At 38.8% G+C, this 20,972-nt stretch overlaps 1 protein-coding gene across 8 annotated transcripts in view, besides 1 other annotated feature; it reads left to right on the top strand.

Moving 5' to 3' along the window:
- The window catches only part of AP4E1 (adaptor related protein complex 4 subunit epsilon 1), a 98,404-nt gene that overhangs the window by 39,679 nt on the left and 37,753 nt on the right, over window positions 1-20,972 (top strand). For 7 of the 8 annotated variants that reach the window (XM_005254264.5, NM_001252127.2, NM_007347.5 and 4 more), the window contains exons 11-14: window positions 850-989; window positions 2,656-2,768; window positions 2,881-2,999; window positions 11,322-11,624. In XM_005254264.5, coding sequence (XP_005254321.1) covers window positions 850-989; window positions 2,656-2,768; window positions 2,881-2,999; window positions 11,322-11,624 — 675 coding nt within the window. Of the gene's footprint in view, window positions 1-849; window positions 990-2,653; window positions 2,769-2,880; window positions 3,000-11,321; window positions 11,625-20,972 lie in introns of those variants that run through there. The other variant, XM_047432327.1, reaches the window with a different exon arrangement.
- Window positions 19,455-19,680: a silencer, noted in NCBI's record as "fragment chr15:51258822-51259047 (GRCh37/hg19 assembly coordinates)". NCBI's record gives its function as "represses an EF-1alpha promoter that drives an FKBP-Casp9 reporter gene in an ReSE screen in K562 erythroleukemia cells {active_cell/tissue: K562}" and the evidence as "EXISTENCE:reporter gene assay evidence [ECO:0000049][PMID:32094911]".

Raw genomic sequence — 20,972 nt, forward strand, 5'->3', positions numbered from 1 at the left:
TTGGGGAGGCCAAGGTGGGAGGATCACTTGAGCCCAGGAGTTCAAGACCAGCCTGGGCAACATGGTCGAACTCCATCTCTATAAAATACCAAAAAATTAGCTGGGCATGGTGGCACGTGCCTGTAGTCCCACCTATTTGGAAGGCTGAGGTGGGAGGATTGCTTGAGCCCAGGAGGTGGAGGTTGCATTGAGCTGAGATTGTACCACTGCACTACAGCCTGGATGACAGAGCAAGACCCTGTCTCAAAAAAAAAAAAAAAAAAAGTAGCTATAAAACAGTTCTTCCTTGATGACTGAGATTTTGAACCTAGGCTTTGAAGCATTTGAGCCACCAGTCTTTGTCCATCCAAACAAAACCTGATTGCCTTCAATTACCTAACCCACTCAAGTGGTGTCTTCTGTTGTTTGGGAAATAGTCTGCTGTCTTCTGTAGCATGGGAAATAGTTTCCAAGACTAGATTTATACACACATACATACACTTGCATATATATACACCCATAGCTGTAGGTAATGTATATTTAAGGGCTGTTATGTTTTTAGAAAATATATATCTATTGTATTTTAACTTTTTAGTCTCTAAGTGTTCTGTCATGTAGAGATGTCAGGTTGTGATTATCTCAGTAGGAAGCTTATAGACATTGGAATTGATCATAATTCATTTTTTGACGATAGTTTTACCTTTCTTAAGCTTTTCATTGAAATTTGCATTTCTTACCTGTTAACTGACTACCCAGTAGATCTCCATAAAAGTAGAAGAATCAACTGTATGGTCAACCTTTATGTTACTGTACTCATTGGTGTTATGCATAGTTTTATAATATTGTTTTTAATTTTTCTTCTTTAAATAGACTCTGGAACTTCTTTACAGAATTACTAATGCACAGAATATAACAGTTATTGTCCAGAAAATGCTTGAATATTTACATCAGAGCAAAGAAGAGTATGTCATCGTCAATTTGGTCGGCAAAATAGCAGAGCTGGCTGAGAAATATCCTTTTATTTCGACCATGAGTCTTAAAATAGTTAGTTATGCAGTGACTTTAAGATGATTGGTATAGATATGGTCACTTGCAAGTCGAGTTCAGAGACCTAGCAATACTTTTTATTCCTGATTTTCAAGCCTCTCTTGTCAGAAAAAGGGATTTGTGTAGACCTCTTAGGAGATGGCTTTTTTTTTTTTTTTTTTGCTGGTTTCTTTTATTCATGTAGTCCAGTATTTTGAGCAGGAAGATAGAGGAACCTTTATCCTCTTTTTCCTCTTTCAGTCCTGCCTCGTCTCTACTTCTATCTTGATTTCTTTTCTGAGTAAAAGTTCTTGCTTTTTGGGGAAAGTGGAGGGTGTGTGGGAGTGGTCAGGATGCTAAAGCTTATCCTTTATTGTTTTAAGCTGGAAATTGTCACAGTTAAGTAGTTGGGAACTCTATTAACATGTTACTCTTCTTCATGTTTGTTTCTTAAAAGTCAGAAGAACTTTACAGGTCATAAGCATATTCCATTCATTAAAAAATGTTACTGTTTAGGCCGGGCACAGTGGCTCATGCCTGTAATCCCAGCACTTTGGGAGGCTGAGGCGGGTGGATCACCTGAGGTCGGGAGTTTGAGACCAGCCTGACCAACATGGAGAAACCCTGTCTCTACTAAAAATACAAAATTAGCCGGGCATGGTGGCGCATGCCTGTAATCCCAGCTACTAGGGAGGCTGAGGCAGAGGAATCGCTTGAAACTGGGAGGCGGAGGTTGCAGTGAGCTGAGATTGCACCATTGCACTCCAGCCTGGGCAACAAGAGCGAAACTCCGTCTCAAAAAAAAAAAAAAAAGTTACTGTTTAATTATAAAAAAGAGTGAGTGAATGCTGTTAATGAAATTATATTGGAAATTGCTTAAGTGTAGTTTTGTCCTAGTCAGTGCTGTAGCTCTGGCCAGCAGAATGATAGAACTTTAGAACTGATGAGGAACAGATTAGAAAAGAGACTAAACACCTGTAATCACAGCACTTTGGGAGGCAGAGGTGGGAGGATTGCCTGAGCTCAGGAGTTCACGACCAGCCTGGGCAACACAGTGAAACCCTGTCTCTACTAAAACACAAAAAAATTTAGCCGGGCATGGTGGTGTGCACCTGTAGTCCCAGATACTCGGGAGGCTGAGGCAGGAGAATTGCTTGAACCCAGGAGGCGGAGGTCACAGTGAACCGAGATCGCACCACTGCCCTCCAGGCTTGGCGACAGAGCAAGATTCTGCCTCAAAAAAAAAAAAAAAAGGAAAAAAAGAAAAGATACTAAACAATTTGTTCAAGTAGACATACAACAATATTTAGCTTCTTTGAAGTGAATTCTTTGAAGAATATAATTTTCCATTATTTGCATCTAGTTAGCTGGTTTGTTTCTTTCAGTTATTTCACATTTATTTATTGGATGACTGTTTTGTGCAAGTATGGTGCCAAAGTGACATAAACTCAGTTTATTAAGTTTATTAAATAAGCTTCTACTGAGTACCTATTTTACATAAAACTGGGGTACAGAACAATTTATGGCAGAGGTTAAAGGTAAAACTGCCATACTAGGATGAATTGGGGTTATTTTTTAAAAGATTGCTACAGAAGGGTAATTTTAATAAGTAGCATTTGGAAGTGTACTTGTTCTTAACACTGTGGACACATATGCTCCTGATAATGCATGGTTTATTCAGACAATGAATGCTGTGTTTTCAGTAGGAGGAGATGTAATGCATCCTGATATTCCCAATAACTTTCTGAGACTACTAGCGGAAGGTTGGTACACTATTATATTCTGTAAAGTAAACATTTTAAAGTTTAATGTTTTTATTACAGAGTCCTAAGATAAGTTTGTGGAAATTAAAATGGTGTATCAATTTCTTTGTAGGTTTTGATGATGAAACAGAAGATCAGCAATTAAGACTCTATGCAGTTCAGTCTTATCTCACTTTACTGGATATGGAAAATGTGTTCTATCCACAGAGATTTCTTCAAGTTATGAGTTGGGTGAGCAAAGTACCTTAAATCATAAATTTTTATAACATTTTTAATACAAACCAAATGTTAACATATTTTCTTCAGAAACCATTCGCTTTACTCAGCTAACTCCTTCAGCTGTCAATTTTTCAAATGGCCACCATCTATCACTTAACTATTTACTTTGTTTTTTCTCTCTGCCATCTCACTTGTTTGGTCTTTTAAATATAGGTATTTACTTGTCTCTTTGTGTTTACAATGTTTTTGTTGTGTTTTTTATGTGCATCCGTGTTTGAATATTTGAATACTCATTTATCTCTACTATATTAGTTTTCTTTTTTAAAAAATTATAACCAGTAAATTATCTTTATTTTAACCAAATAGAAGGAGGTTCATCTTTAAGAGGCATTTTCAACGTACCAGGCACAGTGCTGAGTACTTACATTATTAACTTCTTTTCTTCTTCTTTTTTATTTTATTTTATTTTTTAAGTTCTAGGGTACCTGTGCAGGATGTGTAGGTTTGTTACATAGGTAAACGTGTGCCATGGTGTTTTTTGCTGCACCTATTAACACATCACCTAGGTATTAAGACTAGTACACAATAGCTCTTCTTCCTAAAGCTCTCCACCCCCACCACCCTCCCTGATAGGCGCTGGTGTGTGTTGTTCCCCTCCGTGTGTCCTATGTTCTCATTGTTCAGCTCCCACTTATAAGTGAGAACATGCGGTATTTGGTTTTCTGTTCCTGCATTAGTTTGCTAAGAATAATGGCTTCCAGCTTCATCCATGTCTCTGCAAAGGACATGATCTTGTTCCTTTTTATGGCTGTATAGTATTCCATGGTGTATATGTACTACATTTTCTTTATCCAGTCTATCATTGATAGGCTATCTGTGCTATATTAGTTTTCTTATGCTGCATAACAATGTTACCACAAACTTAGTGGCTTAAGACAATACAAATTCATTATCTCATAGTTTCTGTGGGTCAAGAGTCCAGGTATGGCTTAGCTGGGTTCTCTGATTAGGGTCTCACAGGGTTGCAGTGAAGGTGTTGGCTAGGGCTACTGTCTCACCTGAAGCTTGACTGGTAAATAATCCACTTTCGAGCTCGTGTGGTTGTTGGCAGAATTCATTTTCTCGTGGCTGAGTTTTTGTGACTGAGGGTTTTGCTTGCATACTGTTAACTGTAGGCTGTCCTTAGCTGCTAGAGCTGCTTTCAGTTTCTTGCCATGTGGCCTCCCAACAGGGCCGCCTGCTTCATCAAAGCCAGTAGTGGAGATCAGTTTTTTTTCAAGACAGAGGTCACAATTTTGTGTAATGTAATCACATGTAATTGCATACAGGTCATTACCTTTATGTATTCTTTCTTGTGCATATAGGTGAGTGTTTCTTTAGGGGAGATTTAGAGAAGTGATATGGTATGCACATTTTAATATTTTATAGAATTGCCAAATGTTAGCATGTTAGCTTAAATTTTCCCCAGATTTTTACTTAAAAATTTTTCTTTTCTCATCTGCAGAAAAGTTAAAAGACTAAGATAATGAAATATACTTTTAGTTTAGTTTTTTCAGTTAATTTTCTTTCTTTTTTTTTTTTTTTTTTGAGACAGAGTCTTTCTCTGTCAACCAGACTGGAGTGCAGTGGCGTGAACTCAGCTCACTGTAACCTCTGCCTCCTGGGTTCAAGCAATTCTCCTGTCTTGGCATCCCGAGTTGCTGGGATTACAGGCACACGCCACTGCTTCTGGCTAATTTTTGTATTTTTAGCAGAGATGGGGTTTTGCCATGTTGGCCAGGCTGGTCTCGAACTCTCGACCTCAGGTCATCCACCTGCCTCAGCCTCCCAAAGTGCTGGGATTACAGGTGTGAGCCACCACACCCGGCCCAGTTAAATATTTTTAACTACATTTGTTTTACTGTATCTGCATCTATAGGTATATCTAGGTCTACCTATATACAGTTTGTTTTGCTGAGCTGTTTAGAATTGAATTGCAGACACTGTGACACTTCACTCCTAAAACCTCAACATGAATCTTCTATGAATGACATAAGTATAAAACTGTTGTCATACCCAAGAGGTGTAAAGACACTGGGCGCGGTGGCTCATGCCTGTAATCCCAGCACTTTGGGATGCCGAGGTGGGTGGATCACGAGGTCAGGAGATCGAGACCATCCTGGCTAACATGGTAACACCCCATCTCTACTAAAAATACAAAAAATTAGCCAGGCATGGTGGCACGCACCTGTAGTCCCAGCTACTCGGGAGGCTGAGGCAGGAGAATCTCTTGAACTCAGGAGGCGGAGGTTGCAGTGAACCAAGATCACGCCACTGCACTCCAGCCTGGGTGACACAGCAAGACTCCATCTCAAAAAAAAAAAAAAAAAGAAGTGTACAGTAATTCGTTAATATCACCTGCTATACTGTCCATACTCTGATTTATGGATTTGTACCAAAAAATGTCTCTTAGGGCTATTATTCTCCTCCTTTCAATCCCAGATCCAGTTGAGGATCACAAATTGCCTTTACTTATGTCTCTTTATCCTTTTTTAATTTATAATGAACCCCACTTTCTTTTGGTTTTTATGACTGATTTTTTTGTTTGTTTTGGATGACTACTGTTAACTATAGAATGTCCTACATTCTGGATATCTAATTATTTTTGTTCAGGTTAAACATTTTTAGTGAGAATACTACATAGGCAATGTTGTGTATTTCCTACTGCATCATATCAGGATATATATAATATCAGTTTGTCCACTTATTGGTGATTGTAAGTTTATAAGTTTGGGTTAAGATGGTGGCCTGGTGCAGTGGTTCATGCCTGTCATCCCAGCACTTTGGGAGGTGGGAGGATTGCTTGAAGCCAGAGTTTGAGATCAGCTTGGGCAACAAAGTGAGACCTAGTCTCTACCAAAGGGAGAAAAAAAAGATGGTGACCTCCAGATCTTTGCATTATAAAGGTATCTTTCCTTTTTGTAATTTATAACTAATTTGTGAGGTGATTCTATGAGGCTGTGCAAATATCTTTTCCTCAGCTATCTTCAATGGCTTTAGTGTTGATTATCCTTCCTGAATTGATTATTGGTTTCTGTGGCCATTAGTTTTTTTTGTCTATGAACGTGGCATGTCACTCCACTTAATTTAGATTGTCTTTTATTTCTTTCTACAGCATACAGGTCATGTACAGTCGGCCCCCTTATCTGTAGTTTTGCTTTCTGCAGTTTTAGTTACCTGTGGCCAGTCATGGTCTGAAAATAGGAAATGGAAAATTCCAGAAATCAACAATTTATAAGTTTTAAATTATGTGCTGTCCTGAGTAGCATGATGAAATCTTGAGCCATCCTGCTTCATCCTGCTCTGCCCCAGCTGGGACCTGAATCATTCCTTTGTCCAGTGTATCCATGCTGTATACACTACCTGCCTGTTAGTCACTTAGTAGCTGTCTAGGTTTTCAGATGAACTGTAGCATTATTGCAGTGCTTATATTGTAGTAAACCTTTATTTACTTAATCATGGCCCCACAGCACAAGAGTTGCGATGCTGGCAATTTGGATATGCCAAAGAGAAGCTATAAAAATGGTTCCTTTAAGTGAAAAGGTGAAAGTTCTTGACTTAATGAGGAAAGAAAAACATCATATGCTGAGGTTGTAAAGTTCTACAGTAAGAAGGGAAATTGCCTCTGTGAAATGGTGAAGAAGGAAAAAAAAATCCTGTTTTGCTGTCATACCTTAAATTACAAAAGTGATGGTCGCAGTGCGTGATGAGATCTTAGTTAAGATGGAAAAGGCATTAAATTTGTGAGTGGAAGACGTGATCAGAAGCATGTTCCAATTGATGGCAGTTGGGTTCAGTACTATTTTCGGATTCAGGCATCCACAGGGAGTCCTAAAACCAATCCCCTTTAGATGCAGAGGGCCAAATGTATATACAAATACAATAGATTTTGTATTTCGATCTTGTATCCTACAGTCTTGCTGAACTAACTTAATAGTTCTAGGAGTGTTCTTGTAGATTTCTTGAGACTTTGTTAAGAATTTTATCTAGTGTCATGAGGGCTATTGGTCTGTAGTTTTCATTTTTGTGGTATTCCAGTTTTGGTATCAAAGTAATACTAGTTTCATAAAATGACTTGGGAATGTGCCCTCCTATTTTCTGGAAGAGTTTGCATAAAATTGCTGTTAATTCTGCTTTAAAAATTTGGTAGAATTTTCCAGTGAAACCATCTGGACTTGTAGATTTTTGGGGGAGTTATTAAATTATAAATTCAATTTTCTTAAAGAAAAATCTCAACTGAATTTTCATTCAATAGTTCAGTTTGTTGTTGTTGTTGTTGTTGTTTTTCCCCCCCTTGGGACTTATCTTTGAGTCATGGATTATTCAGAAGAGTATTGTTTAGTTTCTGAGTGTTTAGAAAATTTTCTGTTATCTTTCTGTTGCTGATTTCTAGTTTGCTTTCATTGTGATTAGAGAAAATACTATGTATGATTTCAGTTCTTTCAAATTCGAGGTTTGTTTTACGGTTCAAGGCACAGTCTATCTTGGTATATGTTCTGTGTTTGCTTGAAAAGTTACTTTAAGTTCTAGGGTACATGTGCACAACGTTCAGGTTTGTTACATATGTATACATGTGCCATGTTGATGTGCTGCACCCATTAACTCGTCATTTACATTAGGTATATCTCCTAATGCTATCCCTCTGCCGTCCCCCTACCCCACAACAGGCCCCAGTGTGTGATATTCCCCTTCCTGTTCCAAGTGTTCTCATTGTTCAATTCCCACCTATGAGTGAGAACATGCGGTGTTTGGTTTTCTGTCCTTGTGATAGTTTGCTGAGAATGATGGTTTCCAGCTTCATCCATGTCCCTACAAAGGACGCGAACTCATCCTTTTTATGGCTGCATAGTATTCCATGGTGTATATGTGCCACATTTTCTTAATCCAGTCTATCATTGATGGACATTTGGGTTGGTTCCAAGTCTTTGCTATTGTGAATAAACATACGTGTGCATGTGTCTTTATAACACCGTGATTTATAATCCTTTGGGTATATACCCAGTAATGGGATGGCTGGATCAAATGGTATTTCTAGTTCTAGATCCTTGAGGAATAGCCACACTGTCTTCCACAATGGTTGAACTAGTTTACAGTCCCACCGACAGTGTGAAAGTGTTCCTGTTTCTCCACATTCTTTCCAGCACCTGTTGTTTCCTGACTTTTTAATGATCACCATTCTAACTGGTGTGAGATGGTATCTCATTGTGGTTTTGATTAGCATTTCTCTGATGGCTGGTGATGATCTATTTTGCTTTTTCTGGGTGTTGTGTTCTATAAAGTCTGTTGTGATGGTGTTGTTCAGTTCTTCTATATCCTTGCTGATTCTTGGTCTAGTCCTATTAATTGTTGAGAGAAGGGTATTGACATCTTCAGTTCTGTGGCCTATACTGACACTATGAGGGGGTGGCTTGCTGAACAGTGGGGAAAATCCTGACTCCATCAGGCTTCCACTGACACACTCCCATCAGAGAAAGGCAGGGACACTGTATTTCTCCTTGGTGGAGGTGAGGTGCAGGCTCCCTGCCTAGTCTCCACTGACACTGCAGGGGAGTAGGCCTCTCTACAGCTCAGTGGGGATGAAAGTCCTGACTCCCCACTCAGTCTTCTCAGTTGCCACCCTGCTGGGGAATTTGGGGTACCTCTTGCAGCCTGGTGAGGGTAGAAGTCTTGATTCTCCACTCTGCCTTTGCTGGTGTGGGTGGGGCTGCAGATTTTTCTGTGTGGTATTTGGCTGGAGTAGGAGGGTTACTGTCTGAAACTTTTCTGTCCTCTTGGCTTATTGACTAGAGGGCAGGCTCCTGTTGGGGCTTTTTGTCTGTGCCCATTGGCATTTCCAGGTTCTGGCTCTCCACATCCAGTCTGAGGTAAATGAGACAACAGATAATGTGCTGTATGTTTTATATGTAATATCAAGGGTTTTTAGGTATACTTAGTAGGAAGAATAGGGATAAATACATCTTCTCCATCTTCCCAGAAGCAGACATCCATTACCATTGGTTTTTGAACTGGGACTTATGTTACCTGTTCTTCTGGAGCTACCTTCCATTTTTTATAAAACCACCCTAAAAATTATCATACTGTTTAAGGATTGAACTCATTTAGTCCTATTTCTTTTTCCTTCTCTTCTCTTCCTTCTTACTAGCTATACATTTTCCCTTGCTTATCACCCAGCCTCCTTTTCTTGCTGGTGCCGATATTATACCAAAGACATGAAATTATTCCATAAACACCATTTAGGAAAGTGTATTAGTCCATTCTCACACTGCTATGAAGAAATATCCGAGACTGGGTAATTTATAAAGAAAAGAGGTTTAGTTGACTCACAGTTCCACATGGCTGGGGAGGCCTCAGGAAACTTAAAATCAAGGCAGAAGGCACCTCTTTACAGGGTGGCAGGAGAGAGAATGAAGCCAAGTGAAAGGGGAAGCCCTTCATAAAACCATCAGCTCTCATGAGAACTCACTATCACAAGAGCAGCATGGGGGAAACTGCCCCCATGATTCAGTTATTTCCACCTGGTCCTGCCCTTGACATGTGGGGGATTATTACAATTCAAGGTGAGATTTGGGTGGGAGCACAGAGCCAACCATATCAGAGAGATTTCATACTTCCTGAATTATCAGTTTATTAATGATTCTGAAACAGGAAATTCCCCTTGACCCCTTTGTGGGCTTTGAGACGGGTGCTTCACTTACTCATCCTGTAGCTCTCAACCCCTCGCGGGAGGGTGAGCATGCAGGTGAGCGGGTGCAGGAGCCAGAGTGAGTCGCTTTTGGGCTCTGGCAGGAGCAAAACTCTGTATGGGCCCCATGGCAGCATCTAGTGGGGAGTACCCATGACTCCTGAAGCCCCATTGAGCATGTTACAGTGCTCTTTTAGCTCTGTCATCAGCAGACGGCTTAAGTGTTAACAGCTCAGTGGGCCCTTTTGTATCTGCACTCACTCCTGAGCTCTCATCTGGTGTCCAGGAAAAATGAGGTCACACAAATGAATTGAAGGATGATAAATGCAGGGGATTTTGTTGCCAGTGAAAGTGGCTCTCGGCAGGAAGGGGAGCTGACAGGGGGACTGGGGCAGTGAAGGTAATGTTCTCCAGAAGTCCAGCCGTCTCTGGCTGGATTCTTCTTTGAAGTTACGCTGTCAAGCTGTCCCTCTGAAGTAAAGCCGCTTCTCTCTGACATCCAGCTGCTTCTTCCTCTATGCTGGCTGAGTCTGGGGTCTTTATAGGCACAGGATGGGGCAGGGCAGGGCAGGGCCATGGGTGGTTTAGGAAAAGGCAACATTTGAATGGGAAAATAGGGATATAAGTTCTCACTTTGGGCCGTGGTCTCAGGCTTTCTGGCTTGCGGGTGGGGCTTCTCCAGGGACCCCACCCTTTTCTGCCTAGAATTCCTCTGCCTCCTGTCCCTATCCATTCTTTCACTTACAGGATTGTATGTCACCTAAGTTAGATGTGTGACATAGACAAGCGTTTCTTTTTTTTTTTTTTTTTTTTTTTGAGACGGAGTCTTGTTCTGTTGCCCAGGCTGGAGTGCAGTGGCATGATCTCAGCTCACTGCAACATCTGCCTCCCAGGTTCAAGCAGTTCTTCTTTCTCAGCCTCCTGAGTAGCTGAGACTCTAGGCGTGTGCCACCACACCTAGCTAATTTTTTTATTTTTATTAGAGATGCGGTTTCACCATGTTGTCCAGGCTGGTTTCAAACTCCTCAGGTGATCCACCCGCCTCGGCCTCCCAAAGTGCTGGGATTACAGGTGTGAGCCACCATGCCTGGCCAATAAGTGTTTCTTAAAGTCTCTTCTGTGGAATGTCTACATCAGAATCAGCTGATGCATATTCAAATGTATATTCTCGGGGACCACAGACATACTAAATCAGAATATCTGGGGGTGGAGCCTAGAAATCTGTATTTTTAATGAAACACCTTAAGTGCCTCTTACTACGTGTAGTAAGAACCATCATTACATGAGAACCATCAATAAGTGCTTACTGGAAAATAATAACAGGATGTGATAGTGCTTATAAAAACCAACAACCAACTCCAGAAGTTCAGAAACTTGTAAAGGTATGCTGCTTTATATATTGTTAATGACAATGATGGGGAAAGCCATTTTGAATTATTGGTATAATTTTGAACCTAAAATATACAGTTGTATCTTTAATAATTTTTTCACCATGAGAGGATGTTTAATCTACTTTAAATTCACTCTAGCAGTAGGTACTTTGTTTAGATTTTAGTATAGTCTACTGTATAACTTGATATTTCTATATGAATATCTCTTTGTTTTATTTACAGGTATTAGGGGAATATTCCTACCTCTTAGATAAGGAAACGCCAGAGGAAGTTATAGCTAAGCTCTACAAGTTACTTATGAATGACTCTGTGTCTTCAGAAACAAAAGCCTGGTTAATTGCTGCTGTGACCAAATTGACATCTCAGGCGCACTCTTCTAATACAGTTGAGAGATTAATCCATGAATTTACCATATCTTTGGATACTTGTATGAGACAACATGCATTTGAATTAAAACATTTGCATGAGAATGTGGAACTTATGAAGAGCTTGCTTCCAGTTGACAGGAGTTGTGAAGACTTGGTGGTAAGACATTGGTGTTCCATCTTTTTAAAAATTGCGTTGTCATTAAACAGAGTAATTCTTGCATTTGTGACATATCAGGAATATATCAAAATGTGGTTTCTGTAGCATTTAAGGTGAATGTTGGAGTTCCTTTTCACATTAGTATGACAGGGAATCTGAAAGCTCCCAGCACTTTGGGAGGCTGAGGTGGGTGGATCACCTGAGGTTGGGAGTTTGAGACCAGCCTGACCAACGTGGAGAAACCCCATCTCTACTAAAAGTGCAAAATTAGCTGGGCATGGTGGTACATGCCTGTAATCCCAGCTACTTGGGAGACTGAGACAGGAGAATTGCTTGAACCTGGGAGGCAGAGGTTGCAGTGAGCTGAGATTGCACCATTGCACTCCAGCCTGGGCAACAAGAATGAAACTCTGTCTCAAAAAAAAAAAAAAGATTCAATCTAAAAAGATCTTCACCAAAGCACATTATAGTCAGACTGACAAAAGTCAAATTACAAAGAGAGAATTCTAAAAACAGCAAGAGAAAAGTATCAAGTCACACATATAAGAGTATTCCTATCAGACAAATAGTGGATTTCTTAGCAGAAACCTTATTTTATAGGCAAGGAGAAAATGGGAAGATATACTCAAAGTGCTGGAAAAAAAACCCCCAAAACTGCCAGACGAGTAAGTATACTATACACAGCATAAAGGAGAAATAAAGTCTTTCCCAGACAGGTGAAACTGAGATAATTCATCCCCACTAGACCAACCCTAAAAGAAATGTTTGAGGGAGTCTTACATCTGGGAGTGAAAAGATATCTACCAACGTGAAAACACATGAAAGTATAAAACTCACTGGTAAGGCAGATACACAAATGAGAAACAGAAAGGAATCAAATATTATCATCACACACACAAAATCCATCCAGCTAAACAATGAAAAAGGAAGAAAGGAAAAAATGTATAAAACAATCAACAAAATGACAGTAGTAAGTCCTCAACTATCCATAACAACCTTTAATGAAAACAGTTTAAATTCCTCAATTAAAATATATAGGCTGGCTGAATAGATAACAAAATAAGATCCAGCTATATGCTGCCTATAAGAAACTCACTCACCTGTAAAGACACACAGACTGAAAGTGAAGGGATAAATAAAAATAACCATGCAAACAGAAACCAAAAGCATGCAAGAGTAGCTAATGTTATATCAGACAAAATGGACTTGGAAAAAAAATATAAAGGAGACAAGAAATGTTATTATATAATGATGAAGGGATCAGTTTACCAAGGGCATATAACATTTGTAAATACATATGCACCCAACACTGAAGCAAATATATATAAAGCAAATATTATTAAAGCTCAAGAGAGAGGTAGAACCCCATACAGTCATAGTTGGAAACCTTGACACATCACTTTCGGAATAAGACAGATCATCTAGACCGAAAATCAACAAAGAAGCATCAAACTTAATTTTCAGTCTAGACCAAATGGACCTAACAGATATTTACAGAACATTTTATTCAACAGCTGCAGAATACACATTCTTCTCATCAACACATGGAACATTCTCCAGGACAGACCATATGTTAGGCCACAAAAAAGTCTCAACAAATTTGAAAAAATTAAAATCATAGCAAGTACCTTCTCAGGCTGCATGTGATAAAACTAGAAATTAATAATAAAAGGTACTTTGGAAACTGAACAAATAATATGAAAATCAAAACAGCATATTTCTGAGTGATGATTAGGTCAGTGAAGAAATTAAGAAGAAAATGAAAAAATTTCTTGAATCTAATAAAAATGGAAATTCAGACACAACTTACCAAAACCTATGTAATATGGCAAAAACAGTGCTAAGAGGGAAGTTTATAGCAATAAGCACATACATCAGAAAAGTAGAAGGATTTCAAACAAACAACCTTATGATGCACCTCAAGCGACTAGAAAGGAAGAACAAACCAAACTCAACATTAGTAGAAGGAAATAAATAGTAAAGATCAGACCAGAAATAAACAAAATGGAGACGTAAAAAAGATACAAAAAAAAAAGAGACAAAAAGTTGGTTATTTTGAACAATAAACAAAATTGATAAACTGCTAGCTACACTAATCAAGAAAGAGAGAAGATTCAAATAAGTAAAACCAGAAACAAAAAAGTAGACATTATAATGGCTACCATAGAAATATAAATGATTATTAGAGACAATTATAAACAACTGTACACTAACAAACTGGAAAACCTGATGGAAACGAATAAATTCCTGGACACATCTACCAAGATTGCACAAGGAAGAAATAGAAAACCTGAATGAATAATGACATTGAATCAGTAATAGTAAGTCTCCCAACAGAGAAAAGCTTACAAGATGGCTTTACAAATGAATTCTGGCAAATTTATAAAGAAGAACTAGCACCAACTCTTCTTAAACTAGTCCAAAAAAATCGAAGAGGAGGACATTCTTCCTAACTCATTTTATATGGCCAGCATTACCCTGATACCAAAACTAGACAAGGACACAACAACAATAACAAACTACAAGCCAGTATCCCAGATGAACATAGATGCAAAAATTCTCAACAGAATACTAGAAAACTGAATCCAATAACACACCAAAAAGATAATACACTATGATCAAGTGGAATTTTCCCAGAAATGCAAGGATGGTTGAACATACAAAAATCAATAAATGTGATACTTCACATTAACGGAATAAAGGACAAAAACCATATGATCATCTCAATAGATGCAGAGAATTCATTTGGTAGAATCCAACATCCCATCATGATAAAAACTCACAAGAAAAAGCATAGAAAAAAAATACTCAACGTCATAAAGCCCATATATGACAAACCCAAAGCCAATATTGCAATGAATAAGAAAAAACTGAAGGCACTTCCTCTAAGAATTGGAAAAAGGCAAGGATGCCCACTTTCATCACTCCTATTCAACATAGTACTGGAAGTCCTAGCTAGAGCAATCGGGCAAAAGAAAGAAATAAAGGGATCTAAACTGGAAAAGAGGAAGTCAAATTGTCCCTTTTTGCAGATGACATGATCTTATATATAGAAAAACCTAAAGACTTGAACAAAAAGTTCTTAGAACCAATAAAAGAATTCAGTAAAGATCCAGGATACAAAAATCAACATACAAAAATCAGTAGCATTTCTGTACACCAAGCCAGAAAAAAAAAATCAAGAAAGTAATGCCATTTACAACAGCTACAAAATAAATAAATAAATACAATACAATACAATACAATACTTGGAATAAATTTAACCAGGGAGGTGGAAGACCTCTACAAGGAAAACTTCAAAAGGCTGATAAAAGAAACTGAAGAGGATACAAACAAATGGAAATAAATCCCATGCTCATGGATCACATGAATATTGTTAAAATGCCCATACTACTCAAACCAATCTACAGATTCAATGTACTATCAAAATACCAATGACAGTCTTCACAGAAATAGAAAAAACAACCCTAAAATTTGTAGAGAACCATGAGACTCTGAATAGCCAATACAATACTAAGCAAAAAGAACAAAGCTGGAGGCATCACACTACCCAATTTCAAAATATACTACAAAGCTGTAGTAACCAAAACAACATGGTATTGGTATAAAGAAAGACATACACACCAATGGAACAGAGGGAACCCAGAAAAACCGTGTATTTACGACTAACTGATTTTCGGTCAAAGTGCCAAGAATATATATTGGGGAAATGACACCCTCTTCAATAAATAGTGTTGAAAAGCCTTGATATCAGCATGCAGAATAATGAAACGAGATCCCTATCTCTCACCATATAAAAAAATCAACCCACAATGAATTAAAGAATTTAATGTAAGATCCAAAACTATAAAACTACTAGAAGAAAACTTAGAGGAAATGCTTTAGGACATTGGTCGAGGCAAAGATTTATGGCTAAGACTTCAAAAGCACAGGCAAAAAAGACAAAAATGACAAATGGGACTGTATTAAGGTCAAAAGCTTATGCACAGCAAACGATACAATCAATAGAGTGAAGAAACAATCTGTAGACTGGGGAAAAATATTTACAAACAAGGGACTAATATCCAGAATATATAAGGAACTCAATTCAACAGCAAAAAAAAAAAAAAAAAAAAAAAAAAATCCCATTTAAAGGTGGGCAAAGGTCATCAACAGACATTTCTTAAAAGAAGATACACAAATGGCCAACAGGTAAACAAAAAAATGCTCAACATTGCTAATCATCCGGGAGATGTAAATCAAAACCACCATGAGATATTATTTCAGTTACAATGGCTGTTATCAAGGAGACAAAAAATAACAAATGTTGCCAAGGATGCAGAAAAAAGGAAACTCATGCACTGTTAGTAGGAATGTAAATTAAGATAGCCATTATAGAAAACAGCACAGAGAGTTTTCAAAAAACCAAAAATTGTTTCAAAAAAAACAACCCAGCAATCCCACCTCTGGGTATTTATCCAATGGAAAGGAAATCATTATTTCAAAGGTATACCTGCACCCCCATGTTCACTGCAGTACTATTCACAATAGCCAAAATGTGGAATCAACCTAAGTGTCCACCAGTGGACACATGGATAAGGAAAATGTGGTATGTATACACAATGGAATACTATTCAGCCAAATAATATCCCAGCAACATAGATGGGACTTATTTCACTATGAAGTAAAATAAGCATGGCACAGAAAGTCAAATATTACATGTTCTTATGCATATGTGGAAGTTAAAAATGTGCATCTTATGGAGGTAGAGAATAAAGAAGCTGGGAAGGGTCGGGGGGCAGGGAAGAAGAATTGTTGGTTAATGGTTAGTAACATACCTAGATAAGAGGAGTAAGTTCTAGTGTTTGATGGCACAGTAGGGTGACTATAGTTAGTAATAATTGTATAGTATTTGTATATTTCAAAATAAAGAGAAGATTTGAAATGTTCCCAACACAAATGATAAATGTTAGAGGTGATGGATATCCTAAGTACTCTGATTTACGTATTACACATTCTATGCATGTATCAAAGAATCGTATGTACGCCAGATATGTATGTCTTTTAAAATCAACAAATAAGAGAAATTCCTCAATTATTCTGTATTAAAAGAGACTGTCACAGGATATAAATATCTTCACTGCAGTTTTCCAGAAGAGACACTCTTATTCCTATTTAGAATCAGTACTGGATTACAGGCGTGAGCCACCACTCCTGGCCAGGTTGAATCTCTTTGAGGCGCTTTGAGCTTCCTGCATATGGATGTCTGTATCTCTTGCAAGACTTGGGAAGTTTTTAGCTATTATTTTTCAATTAGGTTTTCTGTGCCTTCACCCATTTTGTCTTTAAACTCTCAAAATTCAAATATTTGTTTGCTTTATGTTGTCTCATATGTCATGTATGCTTTCTTTGTTTTATTTATTTATTTTTGTCTGGTTTATTTCAAAGACATGTCTTCAAATTTGGAGTCTCAGTCTATTGTTGAAGCTCTTGGTTATACTTTTTATTTCATTCATTGAATTCTTCAGTTCTATGAGTTCTGTTTGTTTCTTATTTATGATGTCTACCTCTGTTGAATTTCTCATTCAGATCATGAATTGTTTTCTTGATTTATTTTTGTTTTGTTTATCTGTGTTCTCTTGTATCTTTTGAGTTTCCTTAAGATCATTATTTTGATTTTTTTTTCAAGCATTTTATATATTTCCTTTTTTTGGGATCTGTCACTGGAGAGTTATTGTGTTCCTTTGGAGGTTTTGTTTCTTTGCTTTTTTATTTTTCTTGTGTCCTCACATTGACATATGTGTATCTGGTATCATAGCAGTTGGTTCTAAGTTTATAGATTCCTTTTAGTAGGGAAAGACCTCTCCCTGTAGATGTATCTGTGGTGTTGGTTAATAAGGTGCTTGGGCTTTGATTCTGGATGGGCACAGTAGTATATTTTCCAGATGATTTCTTCAACTGTAATCATAATCAGTGATGTCTGTGAGTTCCTCAGTGGTGATATGGTTTGGATCTCCCGCCCAAATCTCAAGTTGAATTGTAATCCCCAGCGTTGGAGGTAGGGCCTGGTGGGAGTTGTTTGGGTTATGAAGGCAGATACCTCATGGCTTGGTGCTGTCCTCGTGATAGAGAGTGAGTTCTTGAGAGATCTGGTTATTGTAAAGTATAACACCTCCCCCTACCACACACACACACACACACACACACACACACACACACTGGACTTTCCCTTTCGCTCCTGCTTTCGCCATGTGATGTGCTTGCTTCTGCTTTACCTTCCTCCATAAGTAAAAGCTTCTGAGGCCTTACAAGAGCTGAACAGATGCCGGTATCATGCTTCTTGTACAGCCTGCAGATCCGCGAGTCAATGAAACCTATTTTTTTTTTCTTATAAATTACCCAGTCTCAAGTGTTTCTTTATAGCAGTGCAAGAACGGACTAATAGAATGGCTTAGGCTGTGGTTGTTAGTGGAGGCTGTAGAAAGGCTTTGCTGAGGATAGAACATTAGGTGAGTTGATCCTTGTGCACCACTGGTAGCAATGGTTGGCTGGGCATAATGGTTGTCAGATCCCTGGGCAGTGTGTATGGGTCCTGGCAGTGGCAGGATTGGGTGTGCCAGTCCTTGGGCCTCCAAAGATGGCATGTGCACATGCTGGTGGTGGCAGCAGTGGGGTGCACACAAATTGATTTTTAGTAGCGATTCATGAATCGGGCAATATCTCATTAGTATTATTCCACATTTTCTCCTTGATTTGTGTTAGCTTACTGGTTTATTATAAACTATATTGCAGAGGATACAGAGGAAGGAGATGCATAGGACAAGCTATGGAGGAAGGTTTTCGGAGCTTTTATACTCTCCGTGGCCATACCACTTTTCAGGAACCTCCACGTTTGGCTATCTTCTTTTAATCTTCTTTGAAATTCTGTGTCATTTTATTCCTCCTCTATTTGAGAATCCAAAAAAGTGGTTTTCCCTTTTATTTTGTCAATCTACTTGTTAAAGTCTTCACCATTTTGGAGCTTGATCATCCACCTTTTAGTTTCACACCTACTTTTTGCCACCACCCCTTTTAACCCAAAGTTCTCACTTAATACTCACTCTCTTTATTTCATATCATGATCTCCCTCAGGTGTAAATTAGAAAACTTTCTTTTTTTTTTTGAGACGGAGTCTCGCTCTGCCACCCAGGCTGGAGTGTAGTGGCATGATCTTGGCTGACTGTAACCTCTGCCTCCCGGGTTCAAGTGATTCTTCTGCCTCAGCTTCCTGAGTAGCTGGGACTACAGGTGCGCGCCACCACGCCTGGCTAATTTTTTCTGTAATTTTAGTATAGACAGGGTGTCACCATATTGGCCAGGCTGGTCTCAAACTCCTGACCTAGTGATCCACCCACCTTGGCCTCCCAAAGTGCTGGGATTACAGATGTGAGCCACCGCACCTGGTCTAGAAAACTTTCAAAGGTAATTAGAATTATTCATATTAGCTGAGAAAGAGAAAATAAAGGTTATTATTTCCACTAATTTTGACTCAGATTTTCATGGCTTGTATTCATTTTGAACATTTCTTCATTAGTTCTTTCAGTAGTTCCTCAAGGGCAGAGGCCTTGTTTTAGTATTTGGTGGGCATTCCAGAGATGTTTATTGAAATGATGAATGAATATGCTACACACAGTATTATATTAGGGAGTAACTACACTTCCGTTTTCCTCCAATAAAAAATAATGATGTTGACATAGCCTCAGCCTCATCTCAAGAATCTTTTTTTTTTTTTTTTTTTTTTGAGATGAAGTTTCACTCTTGTCACCCAGGCTGGAGTGCAATGGTACGATCTCGGCTCACTGCAACTTCCTCCTCCCAGGTTTCAAGTGATTCTCCTGTCTCAGCCTCCCGAGTAGCTGGGATTACAGGCACCCACCACCATGCCTGGCCCATTTTTGTATTTTAGTAGAGACGAGGTTTCACCATGTTGGTCAGGCTGGTCTCGAACTCCTGACCTCAGGTGATCCACCCGCCTCGGCCTCCCAGAGTGCTGGGATTACAGGCGTGAGCCACCACGCGTGGCCTAAGAATCTTATTTAAGTGAAACCTTTCCAGATTCAGAGAGTGAGGTGCCATTTTTATGTTTGATAATTATTTGCTATTCTAAATTATCTGAGCTATTTGTATATACTTGCTAAATCAGGAGAGGCAAGTCTTTGGTTTCTGAGGTCATCACTGCTCTCTCCACTTGTTTATCTATCATTTTTGTTCATCTCCTTCTTTTCTCCTTTCCCTGTCATTCTTTCTTCATCTCTTATCATTTATTCATTAAAAATTATTCTCCTAACGCTTTTCCTGGTGAAATTAAGTAATTTTCCATAGATTTGTGAAAAAGCATTTTCAGTTTATATTAGGATAGTTAAATCAAAGGCACTGTGGGAGGCTGAATAATGGCCCTTGCAGAGATGTCCATGACTTAATCTCTGGAATTTGTGCTTGTTACCTTAAACATTGAAGGGAACTTGGTAGATGTGATGAAATTAAATATTTTGTGATGGGGCAGTTATCCTAGATTATGTAGCTAGGCATGATATAATCACAAGGATCCTTACAAAAGTGAAGCAAGAGGTTAGAGAGGAGAAGGCGAAGTAACAACAAAAGCAGAGATTGGAATGATAGGGCCACAAATCAAGGAATGTTGGCAGTCTCTAAAAGCTGAAAGAAACAAGAAACAGATTCCCCTGGTACATCCAGAAGGAAGCAGCCCTGCCAAAGCCTTGATTTTAGCCCCCTGCAGCAGGAAACCAATACAGTTACCATATCTTGTAGTATATATGTCTGTTTCTTCTGGTGGGTTACAGTTCTGCTCAGGGTAGGAGCTGTGTCTTCCTTTGTCTCAATTATAGAACCTAACAGGATGCCGTAACATATTTGATGCTCAAAAATATATTCTCCACTGCAGTGAAATTAATAGTAAGTGCAAATGATTTATATTGTTAGATTCTTAGGCAGGTGATCTGATTATAGATGTTTCAGAAAGCTAGAGAGTTGGGTAGCATTTTCATTCATTCATTTTTTGAGACAGAATCTTGTTCTGTTGCCCAGGCTGAAGTACAGTGGCACAGTCTCGGCTCACTGCAACCTCTGCCTTCTGGGTTCAAGCAGTTCTGCTGCAGTCTCCCGGGTGGTGGCTGTGCTGGGACTACAGCTGCGTGACACCATGCCAAGCTAATTTTTTTGTATTTTTAGTAGAGATGGGGTTTTGCCATGTTGGCGAGGCTGGTCTCAAACTCCTGGCCTCAAGTGATCCGCCCATTTCAGCCTTCCAAAGTTCTGGGATTACAGTCATGAGCCACCATGCCTGGCTGTGGTAGCATTTTTAGAACTGAA

This window comes from Homo sapiens, chromosome 15 (assembly GCF_000001405.40).
Source record: "Homo sapiens chromosome 15, GRCh38.p14 Primary Assembly".
NCBI classification, from domain to species: Eukaryota; Metazoa; Chordata; class Mammalia; order Primates; family Hominidae; genus Homo; species Homo sapiens.